The sequence below is a fragment of the Homo sapiens genome, chromosome 18 (genome assembly GCF_000001405.40).
Source record: "Homo sapiens chromosome 18, GRCh38.p14 Primary Assembly".
NCBI lineage: Eukaryota > Metazoa > Chordata > Mammalia > Primates > Hominidae > Homo > Homo sapiens.
In genome coordinates this window covers 6,774,363-6,788,503 of record NC_000018.10, presented here as the reverse complement: position 1 = coordinate 6,788,503, position 14,141 = coordinate 6,774,363, and the positions used below count along the sequence as shown (strand labels likewise).

Sequence of the window (14,141 nt, the reverse complement as noted above, 5' to 3'; positions counted from 1 at the left end):
GGCGACAGAGCAAGACTTCATCTCAAAACAAAAACAAAAAAAAAACAAACAAAAAAACAAAAAGAAAACAAAGAAATGCCTGAGGCTGGGTAATTTATTACATAAAGAAAAGATGCTTAATTGCTCACAGTTGCACAGGCTGTACAGGAAGCATGATGCTGGCATCTGCTCGGCTTCTGGGGAGGCCTCAGGAAACTTACAATCATGGCCAAAGGCAAAGGGGGAGCTAGCACGTCACCTGGCCGGAGCAGGAGGAAGGGGCTGAGGGAGGTGCTACACACTTTTGAACAACCAGATCTCCCGAGAACTCACTCACTATACAGTAACAAGGGTAGGTGGTGCTAAACTGCTCATGAGAACTCCACCTCCACAATCCAATCACCCCTCACCAGGCCCCACCACCAGCACTGCAGATTACAATTCAACATGAGATTTGGGCAGGGACACAGATCCAGACCTTATCAACTACAGACATGCAGATGCCTCAAGGCCAGGAGAAACTGAAGCCAACCTGTATTTTCTGACTAGACAAAAGGCAGAATGAGCCAGAATACATGGAACAAAGCAGAACTACTCAAATTAGTTAAAGAGGAAATTACAGTTGGAGTAATCCTACTGTCAATCCAACTGTGATGGATAGGAATTAGATTATTTAAAAAGTTGGAATTAAACTTTTACATTAAGAAATCTCTTGTGCCTGTATATTTAAATACAGTTGTCTTTGAGAGTTGTGTCTAACACTTTTAATAGAGAATGATAACATTGGTTAAAACTGTGTTTTTGAAAAGTGAAACAAAAAACACCCATGGGGACACCTATGGAAAGCCAACCCACCAGATTAAAATTCAGACTGCCATTGCTTTGCCTGCACATCACAGCTTTGTAAAGTGTTAATGTCTGTGCCACAGGCATTATGCTATATTGTCTTAGATAAAAACGATCAGAATTTCCGGGGGTAGGGCCTAGATAGAACTAATTTTTTTAAGTTTCTTCCATTGTTGAAAACCACCAATCTACATGAAAGAAGTTTTCCCCAGTTAACAGACTACATCCCTGGAAAAAAATAAGTATCTTAATAACCATTCTCATTGATGATCTCTACCTAAAACATGAAAGCAAATGATATATTATTAGTATAAAGGAAAAGTAAATAATAACAATGTAGCTTAAAGAACTTTCTTCACTCAAGAGATGCTGATTCTTATTTTAGTTTTTTTTTTTTCTTATCCTCAAAATACATTTACAAGGGCAACTTCAATCCTTTTTTTTTTTTTTTTTTTTTTTAAATGGAGTTTCGCTCTTGTTGCCCAGGTTGGAGTGCAGTGGCGCGATCTCAGCTCACTGCAACCTCCGCCTCCCAGGTTCAAGCAATTCTCCTGCCTCAGCCTTCCCAGTAGCTGGGATTACATGCGTCCACCACCACGCCCGGCTAATTTTTGTGTTTTTAGTAGAGACGGGGTTTCACCATGTTGGCCAGGCTGGTCTCAAACTCCTGACCTCAGGTGATCCGTCGGCATCAGCCTCCCAAAAGTGCTGGGATCACAGGCATGAACCACCGCGCGCGGCCCCAACTTCAATTGTGAATGAATGATCACATGAGAACATTTCAATATTTTTAGGCCAAAGGGAAAAGCCTAGAAAATAAAAAACTTTGCTGGTAAGAAGCTGAGCTCTGAAAAGAAAATTTGCTATTTTAGGGATTTTTTTTTTCCCCACAGCAAATAGCTTTATAATTATTAATATTTATATATCAATAGCCATAGCAAATAGTTTTAAAAGCTTTGAATGGCAGTTCTTGCTGTGAGGATAATTTGTTTTGATCTTTTCATCAAATTTTAAATGGTACAATCTTATATCATTCTTTCAGGGATTCACCTATCAATAGCAAGGACATTGGAATAATAGTTTCAAAGAATGAAGTGGTCAGCGCACCCCAAAAAGGCATGCTGGGGGGCGTGTGGTTGGAAGGTTACAGTGGCACAATGATGGAGCCCGAATGCTGGGAGAAGAGAGTGGTGAGAGAAACTGGGCCCCAACTCTTCCTTCCTGAGGACTGCTCTTCTCCACTGGGTTCTCACATTTTTATCCTCATTGACACCAGCTTATCTTGACCTGGGTATACACCTATCCCTTTGGGACTGGCATAGTTAGGAAAATTCTCTTAATTTTTTCTTTAAGTATATATGACAGGATAATTTGTCAAAACATTCTTTACTAAAAACTAAAGAAAAGGAAAAATAAAATAGAAAAAATAAAAAAGGTGTAATATATAAGCTTATGACCCAATAGGACTAATGTCTAGTTGCAGTTTAGCTTGTACAAATGAATAACTCTGGAAATCACTACGCTGGTCACTCCACGTCAAAATACTGTTTTGTTCAACTGACGTTTCTTCTCCCATTTAAAGACATAAACCTCCCTCCCAATTGTTCCTCCCAATAGAACTTCTCCTAATTTCAAACAGACATCTCCTCAGGGAGTGTTTTCCAAAAAATGTTTAATGTCAACCCATATGAAGAAACACAATTTAGATCTCTACCCAGTACACACACATACCTCATACATGTAACAAAAGTTTCATGAAACAGTCTCATTATGTGTGATATACTCTGACCTATTTCCTTTTCTATTTCATTTTTTCAAATGCAGATATTGACCAACTCAACTAATTTCATGCACTATCACCGTATGGTATTAGCCACTGGAAAACTAAGTAAAGCCTGAAAATGTCCATCTCAGTCTAGTGCTCATATCTACATGGAAACTCATTTATACATCACAGGCACGGTAATCCCTTTCTCAGTTTCTCAACTGCACCCACTTCCTTGGAATTCTCAAACCTGCTGGTTGGCTTAGTCGTTTATCATACAATAAGGGTTACAACATACCAGGGGCCCAGGACCACAGTCAACGCATCAATTCCTGCAAGTATGCACAGATGCCAATCCAAGTCCCAGGTGCTTACAAACTAAGGAAGCAAAGAGGAGGAAGCAACTGTGCTGATCTAAGGGACCCCTGGGCCAAAGAAGGACTTGTTGGAGGTAGAAAGATGCATTGGAGGTGGAAAGAAGGAACCCAGAGTGATGGAGCTATCTTTACCACTGAGTTATAGTGCCAGGAAGGAGTGAGGAAAGAGTTAAATTTTGAGTGACACACCTGGTCCTCTTGAATGAATGAACAGTTAAATCAATATTCAAAGCCCTAAGCCACTGTTTCTTTTTTAAAAGTTATAATGATATGAAAAAGTGTTCTACTACTCTTGCTGAGGTAATCTGGAATCTGTGTTATTTCATTTATGTGAACTATGCAGGGACTCAAATGGGGAGTATTCCTTACAGATGATAAAAGAAGAGAACCTAATTACGAAGTTATTGGAGAATCCTTCTGAAAGAGGGATTTAGGTGTTTTAACAAGCACTGAAATTAATTCCAAAGACAGCTTATGAGGGAATCTTTTGGTGTTTTCTCCACGAATTTCCTTTTGGAAAAAAAAAATCAGCTCCTCAATTTCCTCAGACCCTGGTTGTCCACAGGCATTTGCTGCTCAGGAGCTGCCTCAGTACAAACAGCTCTGACTCCATGGACTGCTAGCTGTTCTTGGGAGAGATACTGCTATTTGTCAAATGTAACATTCGAACAAAGCTTGAGGACAGGGGATTATAATCAGATATCTTTACTCAATATTTTCACGTGACTAAAATTAGAAAACACAACACATTTCAAAGGATTTTACAGAGGGACTTTAAGTTCATCAAGCAAAGTAACTTTGGATAACTTTGGCCTTTGTTTCCACATCATTTTGTTCCCATCTTTGTTATGTACCTCCTACTGCGCTGAAATTGACTATGATCATGTCTTCATCCCTTCACTAAATTGAATAGAGGGCAGTAACATGTTTCCTTATTCTTTGTATCCCTAACATCTGCCCCCTTGCCTGGAGTTTAGAATGGAATCAGTAACACTTTGTGGAATAAATAAGGAAAGAGGTAAGAGGAGTGTGAGCTTTGCTCTGTAGTGGAGGGTAGGAAGGTGGTTGGAGACAGGGCAGGAGAAGCAAGAAAAGTTGTGGGCTTTCCCCAGAAATGAAAGCGATTACATTCAGAACGCGTAAACCCAACCAGGCTCCTGGCTACTTGCTCCCTAAAGCAGTGCTTCTTAATCTCTAGGTGGATATAAATCACTTGGGAGTCTGGTTAAAATGCAGACTCTGATTCAAGAAGTCTGGGGCAGAATCTAACATTCTGCATTTCTAACAAAGCTCCCAGGGGTTACAAATACCGCTGGGCTACAGTTTAGACACACCTCCAGGAGCAAGCCAGCCCAGAGACCTATGCTGAAGGGATCTCCAACTGCATGGATTTGACTGGGCTCCCGGGATCTCCAACTGCATGGATTTCACTGGGCTCCCGGGAGAAAGTAGATAGTAAACTCAAAGAAGTAACTGAGGAGGTTTTAATAAGAGTCTGCCTGGCTATTTGCAAAATGTGAGCAGCATGAGGGGAAGAAAAAATTAAGGAACTTAACAGCAACCAGGAGGATGAGGCATCACCAGCCCTAGACGGGAAGCCCAAAGGGAGGGAGTGGTTACCAGAACCAGAGAACTTTAAAGCTGGAACAGGAGCAGTAGGCCAGGGTCATGAAAAGAGCTGTGGTCTTGGGTACAGAATAGAGGAACGCAGTTTTCCTAGGGATGGGAAAGGGGAATAAACATCCCAGTCTCACTTTCTTCCCAGTCCCTGATTGCCTCTTGTGCCTCCCATTGGCCAAACCCAACTGGGAACTAGAGGGCAAGGGGGGCTTGTGGATGAGCTCCCCGCAGAGCGTCTCAAAGTGTAGGAGAGTAAGAGTGAACTTCTGATTAATTCAGCAATGTGTTATGTCCTGTGGTTAAAAGTAAATACCCAGGCCGGTCATGGTGGCTCACGCCTGTAATCCCAGCACTTTGGGAGGCTGAGGCAGGCAGATCACCTGAGGTCAGGAGTTCAAGACCAGCCTGACCAACATGGAGAAACCCCGTCTCTACTAAAAATACAAAATTAGCCAGGCCTGGTGGCACATGCCTGTAATCCCAGCTACTTGGGAGGCTGAGGCAGGAAAATCGCTTGAACCTGGGAGGCAGAGGTTGCAGTGAGCTGAGATCGCGCCATTGCACTCCAGCCTTGGTAACAAGAGCGAAACTCCATCTCAAAAAAAAAAAAAAAGTAAATACCCTTAAAACACAAAGAGTCTGGACTTCTCGAGGGGGGCGACATGGAAAAAAAACTGCAGTGAGTCTGTTTATTTCTATAGGTAATCTTCAGGAAGAAAAGAACCCCAAGTGGGTAAGCAGGGGGAGCATTAAAGATAAAAGAAAAACAAGATGAATGCCTGAGGCAAAGTGCTGGGAAGCCATCAAAAGCCCAGCTCAGAAAGTGAAGAACACAGTGGCCTCAACAGGTTCTCTTGGAGAAACAGGACTAGCAGGTTGGAGCTGGCTGTGGCAGTTAAGGGAAGACCAGCTTTCACTTTGGTCTCAGGAGCACATGGCCCAAAACCCTCCTGCTCCTTTTTAGAATTCAGATACAATGTTACTGATGGATTTCCAAGATTTGGGAAAGAAAGTAGACCCAAAGAAAATAAGAAAGAGTAAGCACCAAGACCAAATAGCCAGCTCCTAAAAAGATCCAATCAGAAGTTTGTTAGAGAAATACATATGGGCACACATTATATACAATTATATAATTGTATATAAAATATGATATATAATTAATCTCTTGGCTGGGTGTGGTGGCTCACGCCTGTAATCCCAGCACTTTGGGAGGCCGAGGTGGGTGGATCACCTGAGGTCAGGAGTTTGAGACCAGCCTGGTCAACATGGTGAAACCCCGTCTCTACTAAAAAAAAAAAAAAAAAAAAAAAAAAAAAAAAAAAAATACAAAAATTAGCTGGGCGTGATGGCAGGTGCCTGTAATCCTAGCTACTCAGGAAGCTGACGCATGAGAATCACTTGAATGCAGGAGGCAGAGGTTGCAGTGAGCCGAGATCGTGCCACTGCACTCCAGCCTGGGTGACAGAGTGAGACTCTATCTCAAAATAATAATAATAATAATTAATGTCTTGACATTATATATAACAGATAGTGACATATATGTATATTTCAAGGGATTCCTCATTAATACTCTAATCGAGGCTGTTAGGAATAACATTAAAAGATGGAAAGAATAACCTCATATTTGGATTTTCAACGTGCTAAAAAACAGTGAACACTCTTCTACCCATTCACCCTAGAAAACAAGGTTATCTCACCCCCTCAACCCCCCACTCCCTAAACCAAGGACATGCTCTGCTCCTCATCAGTTGCAGTGGCTAAGCACAGCAGACCTTCCCAAGGCTGGGGAGGCAGCTAAAAAAAAAACCAGTTGGAATCTCCAGGAAGTGAGAAATTGGCTTGGGCCTTGACTGATGAATCAGATCTGGGTGCTCTCTGCCAGGATAATATGATAGCTTGTTGACTGATGTGCCCCTCTCTCCACTGCCCTGTCCCCATCCCTAAACCCATATTCCAAGAGATATGGGCTGGCCAGTTTACCACTTGCCCCAGGGAGAATTGTCAGGAAGAAAAATAAAAACAGCAAACAGATTCCAGAATCTTGGCTCTAGTTCAAAAGAGAGACAAAAATAGTTTTGAAAAGAGATATCAACTGGCAAAACAAGTTTTTTTTACCACCCCATCCAAACTAGGGAGAAGGAAAGAATTTGCAGAGGAAAAAATCATTATGAGCAATTAGAGGCCATGTGTTTGGTGTCCCACCCCCAGAACAATGCCACAGTGTGTCAGGTGGGAGCTGGGGCCCTCACAGGCTTCTCCACGAAGTTTGGGAGGATCTAGGAAGACACTTGCTTCCTGCTTCCCTTCTTTTGTGATTAAGGAAGCAGCCTCAGAGACACATCCCATGTCACCAGGGCAAGAAGAATGGGCAGAGACAGCAGCTCCCGCTCCCGCTGGGGAGTGATGGGGTCAGGAGTTCCCTGCACAGCCTGAGGGGTGCCCACTTTAGCTGAGAGAGAAAAGGAAGCAGACAGAGACTGATTGATTCTCAGAGCCTGACAGACGTGCCTGGCTGGAGATAAGGATCCCCGTGGCAGGGGCTGCAGAGTGAACAGTTCCTTCCAGAAACTGGAACAGGACGAAGGCTCAACTCATATCAGAGACCCAGGTGGGAGCCACCCCATAGATCCACTCTTGCATCCCAGCAGCACTGTGTCCAATCCCCTGGGGTCAAAGCTCAGACAGCAGAGGAAGGCTGAGTCACCAACACAGGTCCCCCTGACTGTCCCGACTGCCTCTCCAGATGCAATGGCTTCCAGCAGCAATAGAAGGAAAGGAGGGGAATCAAAGGGAAATATTCTGAATATTCCTGAATTTTAACCAGAAGCAACTTAGAAAGTGCTAAATTGGATCAAGTCGACTGGCTGTGGCTGTGACTAGATGGAGCTTTTCTGCTGTCCGTCAGAAGTGGGGGCTCAGAGTTAGAATATAAATTTTATTACCAGAAATAAAGAAAATTACATTCTGTGACTGTGAAATTCATGGGCATTACAAGACTGATTGAATTTTTTTTTTTTTTTTTGGAGACGGAGTTTTGCTCTTGTTGCCTAGGCTGGAGTGCAAATGGCGTGATCTCGGCTCACTGCAACCTCCACCTCCCGGGTTCAAGAGATTCTCCTGCCTCAGCCTCGTGAGTAGCTGGCATTACAGGCGCCTGCCACGACCATGCCTGGCTAATTTTTGTATTTTTAGTAGAGACGGGGTTTTGCTATCTTGGGCAGGCTGGTCTCGAACTCCTGACCTCAGGTGATCCACCCACCTTGGCCTACCAAAGTGCTGGGATTACAGGCATGAGCCACCGCACCTGGCCTAAGAGACTGATTTTTTTTCTCAGCCTCCATTGCTTAAATGTTATACAGGCATCCCTCAGCATCTGAGGGGGATTGGTTCCATACCCCTCCCCACAACTAATACCAAATTCCACCGATGCTCAAGTCCATTACATAAAATGGCGTAGTGTTTGCATATAACTTAAGCACATCCTCCCAACACTTTAAGTCATCTCTAGATCACGTATAATACCCAGCACAATGTAAACCCTATGTAAAGAGTTACACTGTATTGGTTTTTTAATTTGTATTTTTAATTGTCGTAGTTAGTTTTTATTGTTTTTTTTTCCCCAAATATTTTTGATTCAAGGTTGGTTCAATCTGCCCATGCAGAACCTGTAGATACCAAGGGCTGACTTTATGTGAATGCTTGGTTAAGATCCAATTCTATCCAGAAGCAGCAGCTCAGTGGTCTCGCTTCTGCATATGACCAGCTGATTCTGGGCAGCCATCTGGCCTTGTCACTGAGCTTCCCTGAACTCCAGTTGAAAGCTGGGGTGGGCTTGTAGGTCCAGCTCATGTCCAACAAGCAACAGCCCTGCCTGGAAGCACCTGGACCTCTTCTGCTCTCCTCTCCTTTCCAACGTCTTGCTGCAAGCCTCATATTTCCCATGAAGTTCCCTTAACTGTTCTAGTTCATAGGGATCATTCTTATGTAAGCTAGGGACTCTCAGGTTCAAAGTTAGTGACATTTCGAGTTATCTTTGATTTACTTTTGTAGCAGGATGGTTGAATTTCTTTCAGAAGCCTGTTAGAAAGATGCACGTAGGTCAGTGTAATTTTGAAGCAATAAAGAATTGGCAGAGGCCTGCATGAGTCTTGACAAATGGATTTGTACCATTACCTAACACAGCTTCTCTGATAATGAGGAAGATGTTTAAAATGCTATACAAAAATAGGCAGATGTTTCTGCTGTCCATAAGGCCAGGCAAGCACTTGAATGTGACCTCCAACCTAGAACTGGGGCAGATAGTGGTCATACAATGGCTGTTAAGGAGATCGGGGTATACCTGTACCTTGGAAACTATATATTGAAACTTTGTAGAATTCTGATGAAATCAAAATGGAAAGCCTCTAATATAAACACAGTGTTCATGCTCAGCTTGTGAAAACCAAGTAGATGCAATGATAAAGGCTCCTGCAATTTTGTTCTGCCCAAGGAAATGTGATAAATGTATGCAGTTCCTGATAATGTCTATTTTGCACAGCCTATTATTCCTTTCTCTACCAGGTAAATTCCACAACCCTAATCAGCAGATGGAGGAGGATTTCACTGCTTACTTTGCAGAGCTTCAATATCTATCTTAATACTGCAATTTGGGGTAATTTTCCAGATAACATGATGCAGGATTATTTTCATATGCAGTACACAGTGCACCCTTCAATAATATCTGGACCCAAACAAAGTTGGATATGTATAATGGCCTATGAAAAGGCCTAGGCTCTGCATGAGTCTATGTAATTGACATTAAAGGAAACACTTCTACTACAATGCTGACTCAGGCAAGCATTCTTGTGACCTGGTCTGGAGAACAAAGAAAATGAACATACCAGGATATCTGCAGATCACTTCAGATGTTCTGACCTCTGCTTAAGCCACAGAGTTAGCCAGCGCTCTGCTTACAGATGTGAAGTGGTGATTCTGTAAGATGAAGGGAGGAATACCCTGAAAAAGTATAGTCTTCCAAATCCAATAGAATGAACTGCTGTGATAGCCCGATATTCCCTAATATCAGATCTTCTACTATTCACAGTACCACTGAGGTATTCAGGAAAGTCAGATAAAAACATTTCCAGACAGTCACTCAAAAAGGTCTTTAAAAGAGAATAAAAGAGCAAAATCAACTCTAATCAAGATGCACTAATGCTCGTTAGTCACACGTAGCACTCCCTAGTGCCCAATATTAAGTAAAACACCTGTTGAAAATCCTCAGCAATTCCACGAGAAATCCTACAGGTATTATTTACAGATAAGGAAATGAAGGATTAAAGAGGGTTTGCCACTGGTCTGAAGACACATTGCTGATTAAGAGGAAGAGCTAGGATTCCAACTCAGGCTGTCAGACCTCAGAGCCAGGACTCTCTACCCTGTGCCTTGGGTATTTTCCCATAAGGTACTTGCAGTATTGTTTCTGATGCAGTGACCATTGCTAAAAAGCTGCTTATGAATGGACAACATGACCAATTTCTTCTCCTTGTTACTGAAAGAGGGCACCACAAGAGAATGAAGAAACTCATACATTTTTAGGATATAGGAGGCTGCCAGTAAAGTTTCCAGGACATTTTACATGAAACTTGCAGCTCATTAAGAAGTTGTCAGTCATTTCATGTGGATCCATCTCTGCACTAATTTCAAAACTAGAAATGCAACATGCCAACTTCATGGAAAAAATCCTAGAGAAAGGTTGATACAGCTAATCAAATGATTATGAATGAGTTATACACATCTCCAGACTACACCAATCCTTAGTCGATTTCTAAAGGGCAAAACTTTCCCAAGTTTGGAGTTAATCTTCTGAGAATATTGGAAAAAACCAAGAGCTAATGGCTTTGCTAGTGCCTAAGGGAACCACCCTAAAGGATGGCTGGTAATCATACTGATGAAGGCTTGGGAAATACCTATGTCCAATCAGAGTCCCCAGTGTAGCCACCAGATCGGAAAAATGCTAAGGAGGGTCAGACCTTCAAAACCAATGGTGTTCTTGGGTGTTTTCCTTCATACTCTGTCAATATCTTTCTACTTGAAGCAGCCCCAGCCTCTCCCCACAACCTTGTCCATTCTTCTCACTTACAGGCTGAGGGTTCACAACTGTTTTATTCATTCATTCATTCATTCACTCATTCATTCATTCATTCATTCATTGAGACAGGGTCTTGCTCTGTTGCCCAGGCTGGAATGCAGTGGTGCAATCATAGATCACTGCAGCCTTGACCTCCTGATATCAAGTGATTCTCCCACCGCAGCTTTCCAAGCAACTGGAACTACAGGCGAATGCCACCAAGACCTGCTAATTTTTAAAAACTTTTCGTAGACATGTGGTCTCACTATGTTGCCCAGGCTGATCCTGAACTCCTGAGCTCAAGTGAACTTCCCACCTCTGCCCTCCAAAGTGCTGGGATTGCAGGTGTGAGCCACCACGCCCAGCCTCGCAAATCTTTGGGCTAATTGCTCTTGAGCTCTGACTCTTCAGTATGTCAAGTTGTGTTCTGCATGTTCTCCTTCACTTGAAACCCATCTTGTCCAAAGCTCACCCCCCTCCTAACTGTAATCCTTTTTCCCAGTCTCAGTAATGGCATCATTACACACTTGTCATTTTTTACTACTCCCTCTATATTAGATAGATTCACAAATCCAGGTGAGTCTCCCTTAAACATATCTCTCAAATACATCTTTTTCTATTTTGCTGTACACCCAGTGTTCAAGTTTATAATATATCTAGGTTATTGCACCGCCTAACTGGTTTCCCAACTCCTCCCATTTTAATATTCTTTACATACCCTTGCAAGAGTCATGTTGACAAAACAAAAATTTTATATGTCATTCTCTTATTAACAATCATTTGATAAAAGTTCCCCAATTGTTGGGAGGATGTTCCAAACTTGTTAGGTTGTATAAAAATTTCTTCATAACCTGCCTCAGCTTACCTTTTCAAACTCACCGCTATCCCCCCTCCAATCGTATATGCTAACATTCATCCATAATGATCTAATCATGGATCCTTTAAGTTGGGCTGCTGAATAGGAGTCAAGGGGAACAAGATATTATAGCGGTTAAGAAAGAGGGCTTTGCAGCTGAACCAGTGTGGATTGAATCTCCGATCTACCACCGACTGAAAGAATAACCTATGTACCACTCTGACACCCCGTTTCTCCTTGTCTCAAAAAGGTCACCATCATAACTAAGATGTGTTACCTATTATAATCCTCCTCCTCATCAGGTGTACTTACATCCACTACTTCATATACAGCAAATTGTCAAAGAAACACTTTGGGCCGGGCATGGTGGCTCATGCCTATAATCCCAGCACTCTGGGAGGCCAAGGCAGAGGCAGGCAGATCACTTGAGCTCGAGACCAGCAGTCTTACCGCCAGCAGCACCGCACCTTCAGGGAGACTTGAATGGCTGTGATACTCAAGCCGGTGGCCAGCTGCTGCAGCAAGCCTTTACTGTATTAATACTGTACATCTTGACTGAACTGTTTTCATTCTCTACTTTTGGAAAATATCCACATTCAGTCTGTGTTTACGTCAGCAGCACTGATTCAAAACACCACCGCTGGGGTTTGAAACAGGCATTAAAACACATTCCTGCACTCGGCTCATCTGGAGTCAGGAGGAGGCCTTCCAGTAAATCCTTACTTCACTCTACTTTGTCATTCCACTTATCATAGAAAGGCATTGATTTCCTTTTAGCTCATCTCAGGGGCTATTTTAGCTCATCTCAGGGGCTATATTGTTATTTTTTTCCTAAAATTTCAGCCAGAAACTCGTCTTTAGAACCTTGTATTACTGTGTCCATTGTCTTCAGGGTTCCTTTATCTGTAAAAGTTCCTACTTGCTTGGGTAGGCTAAGTGTTGTTCATTTTCCCAATGTTTTTTCCCCACTTTGGCTTTAAGATCATAAAAATGAAGTCCTTTGTTTGTATTTTCAAATCTAAACATGAGCCCTACCTTGTTAAACTTGTCTTTAATTAGTGCAGCTGATCTTCAACTAATCCCTTGGCTCAGAGTTTAACAAGGGCCTCATAAAATTTGTCTGTAAAAGACAGGCAACACGTACAAAGTGAGCATGGGAGGGGAGCAGTAATTATACATGGGAGCTATCAAAAAGAAACCATAGAATGTGAAACAATTTCTAAATATAATGCAAATTCAGTATTACTTAGGAGATTTAAAGTTAAGGAAAGTCTCCCTATTTAGTAATCATCACCAAAGCATGTGTAAAATTTTATTACTTTCACAAATGAACACATCCAGCGAATGTCACATCCGAAGCATCACGTGGCCTATCATTGCCCTCGGTTTTGCTTACACCACCTGAAATCGGAGGTAAAACTAAAAACAAACAAACAAAAAACTCTCACCCCTTCCACCACACACTATGAAAACAAGCAATATTTCATCGAAGGCTTCCTTAACACACTCTAAACCAATCTAAAAAGCAAGTTCAATAGAGTCAAAGAAGACTTGACTTTTTGATTACAAAATGCTCTAGTAAAAACACTTAAGAACAATAAGGAAACGATAAACACACTTTGTAAATACACAGATGACACTGCTCAAGGAAAAGGAATCCATAATGCTCTGATGCAGATGATTGCAATCTAATTTTAAAAAGGAAATTCAAATAAACAGCAAGACCACCTCTCTTAACGCTCCTCCTCTCCAACCAAACCCATCACAAAGGACAAGAACAAGAACAAAAATGAAATAGAAGACAAACAAAGAGTCATTGACAAGGTAGCTGTATGTATGACAATGCTTTACAAATTAAACATGAAAAGAGGTTAATCGATATTATGGAAGCCTTTCTGGGAAGAGCACACATTTGTGTTTCCCGAAGAAGAGCCTCTGCGTGCTATTGATCAGACTAATTAGGTCCTTGGCTTTGAGACTACACTAACACAGGTGCTAATTAATTTCTAAGAAGGTGCTTAAGGGAGGGGTAGACAGAGGCCACGGAAAGATCAGAAGAAATGGACAGATGCAGGTCACACAAATCCCCCAGCAAACCTCTTTCCTGTAGAACTCCTTCCCCACCTATGGTCCCCACCATAGGTGTAGGACCAGGGCAACACACAGCCACTTCTGGTGGGTGCCCTCTGTCCCAGCGCTGACAGCAGGAGGAAAGGCTTGGTAAGCCTGCCCACAGATGTGCATTAATTCCATTAAAGAATAGAAGAGCTTGCTTGGCTAATGAACTCTATCTACCTCAGTAGATTTTTCTAAAATTAGGTAATTAACTGGAAAGATTGGGTTAGTTTAAAGGCTCCAGCACACAAACAGAAATAGGAATCAAAAGACTTCTAAGCAATTCATTTTTAACCATCTATTAAGAACACATTTTAACTAGTCCTCTCAAATTACTAATAGGACTTAACTTGTATATTTGAGGTTTAAAAATCCATATCCATACCATGACAAAAATCTGCTGTGAGAGGTTAAAAAATGGCAATTTACTATCAATATGATGCATCTATAAACTAATAATAAAACTATAAGCCC

At 42.0% G+C, this 14,141-nt stretch overlaps 1 protein-coding gene across 11 annotated transcripts in view, besides 1 other annotated feature; it reads right to left on the bottom strand.

Moving 5' to 3' along the window:
- Nucleotides 1-14,141, bottom strand: part of ARHGAP28 (Rho GTPase activating protein 28) — a 186,001-nt gene that overhangs the window by 127,213 nt on the left and 44,647 nt on the right. The window contains exon 2 of one of the 11 annotated variants that reach the window (XM_047437797.1): nucleotides 9,468-9,558. The exons of 9 other annotated variants lie outside the window; for them this stretch is intronic. The gene's annotated coding sequence lies outside the window, so the exon portion shown is untranslated. Of the gene's footprint in view, nucleotides 1-9,467; nucleotides 9,559-13,649; nucleotides 13,671-14,141 lie in introns of those variants that run through there. One more of the 11 variants, XM_047437800.1, reaches the window with a different exon arrangement.
- Nucleotides 5,091-5,673: an enhancer, noted in NCBI's record as "NANOG hESC enhancer chr18:6782830-6783412 (GRCh37/hg19 assembly coordinates)". NCBI's record gives its function as "activates a minimal SCP1, AML or CMV promoter by ChIP-STARR-seq in primed H9 embryonic stem cells {active_cell/tissue: H9 hESC(primed)}" and the evidence as "EXISTENCE:reporter gene assay evidence [ECO:0000049][PMID:30033119]".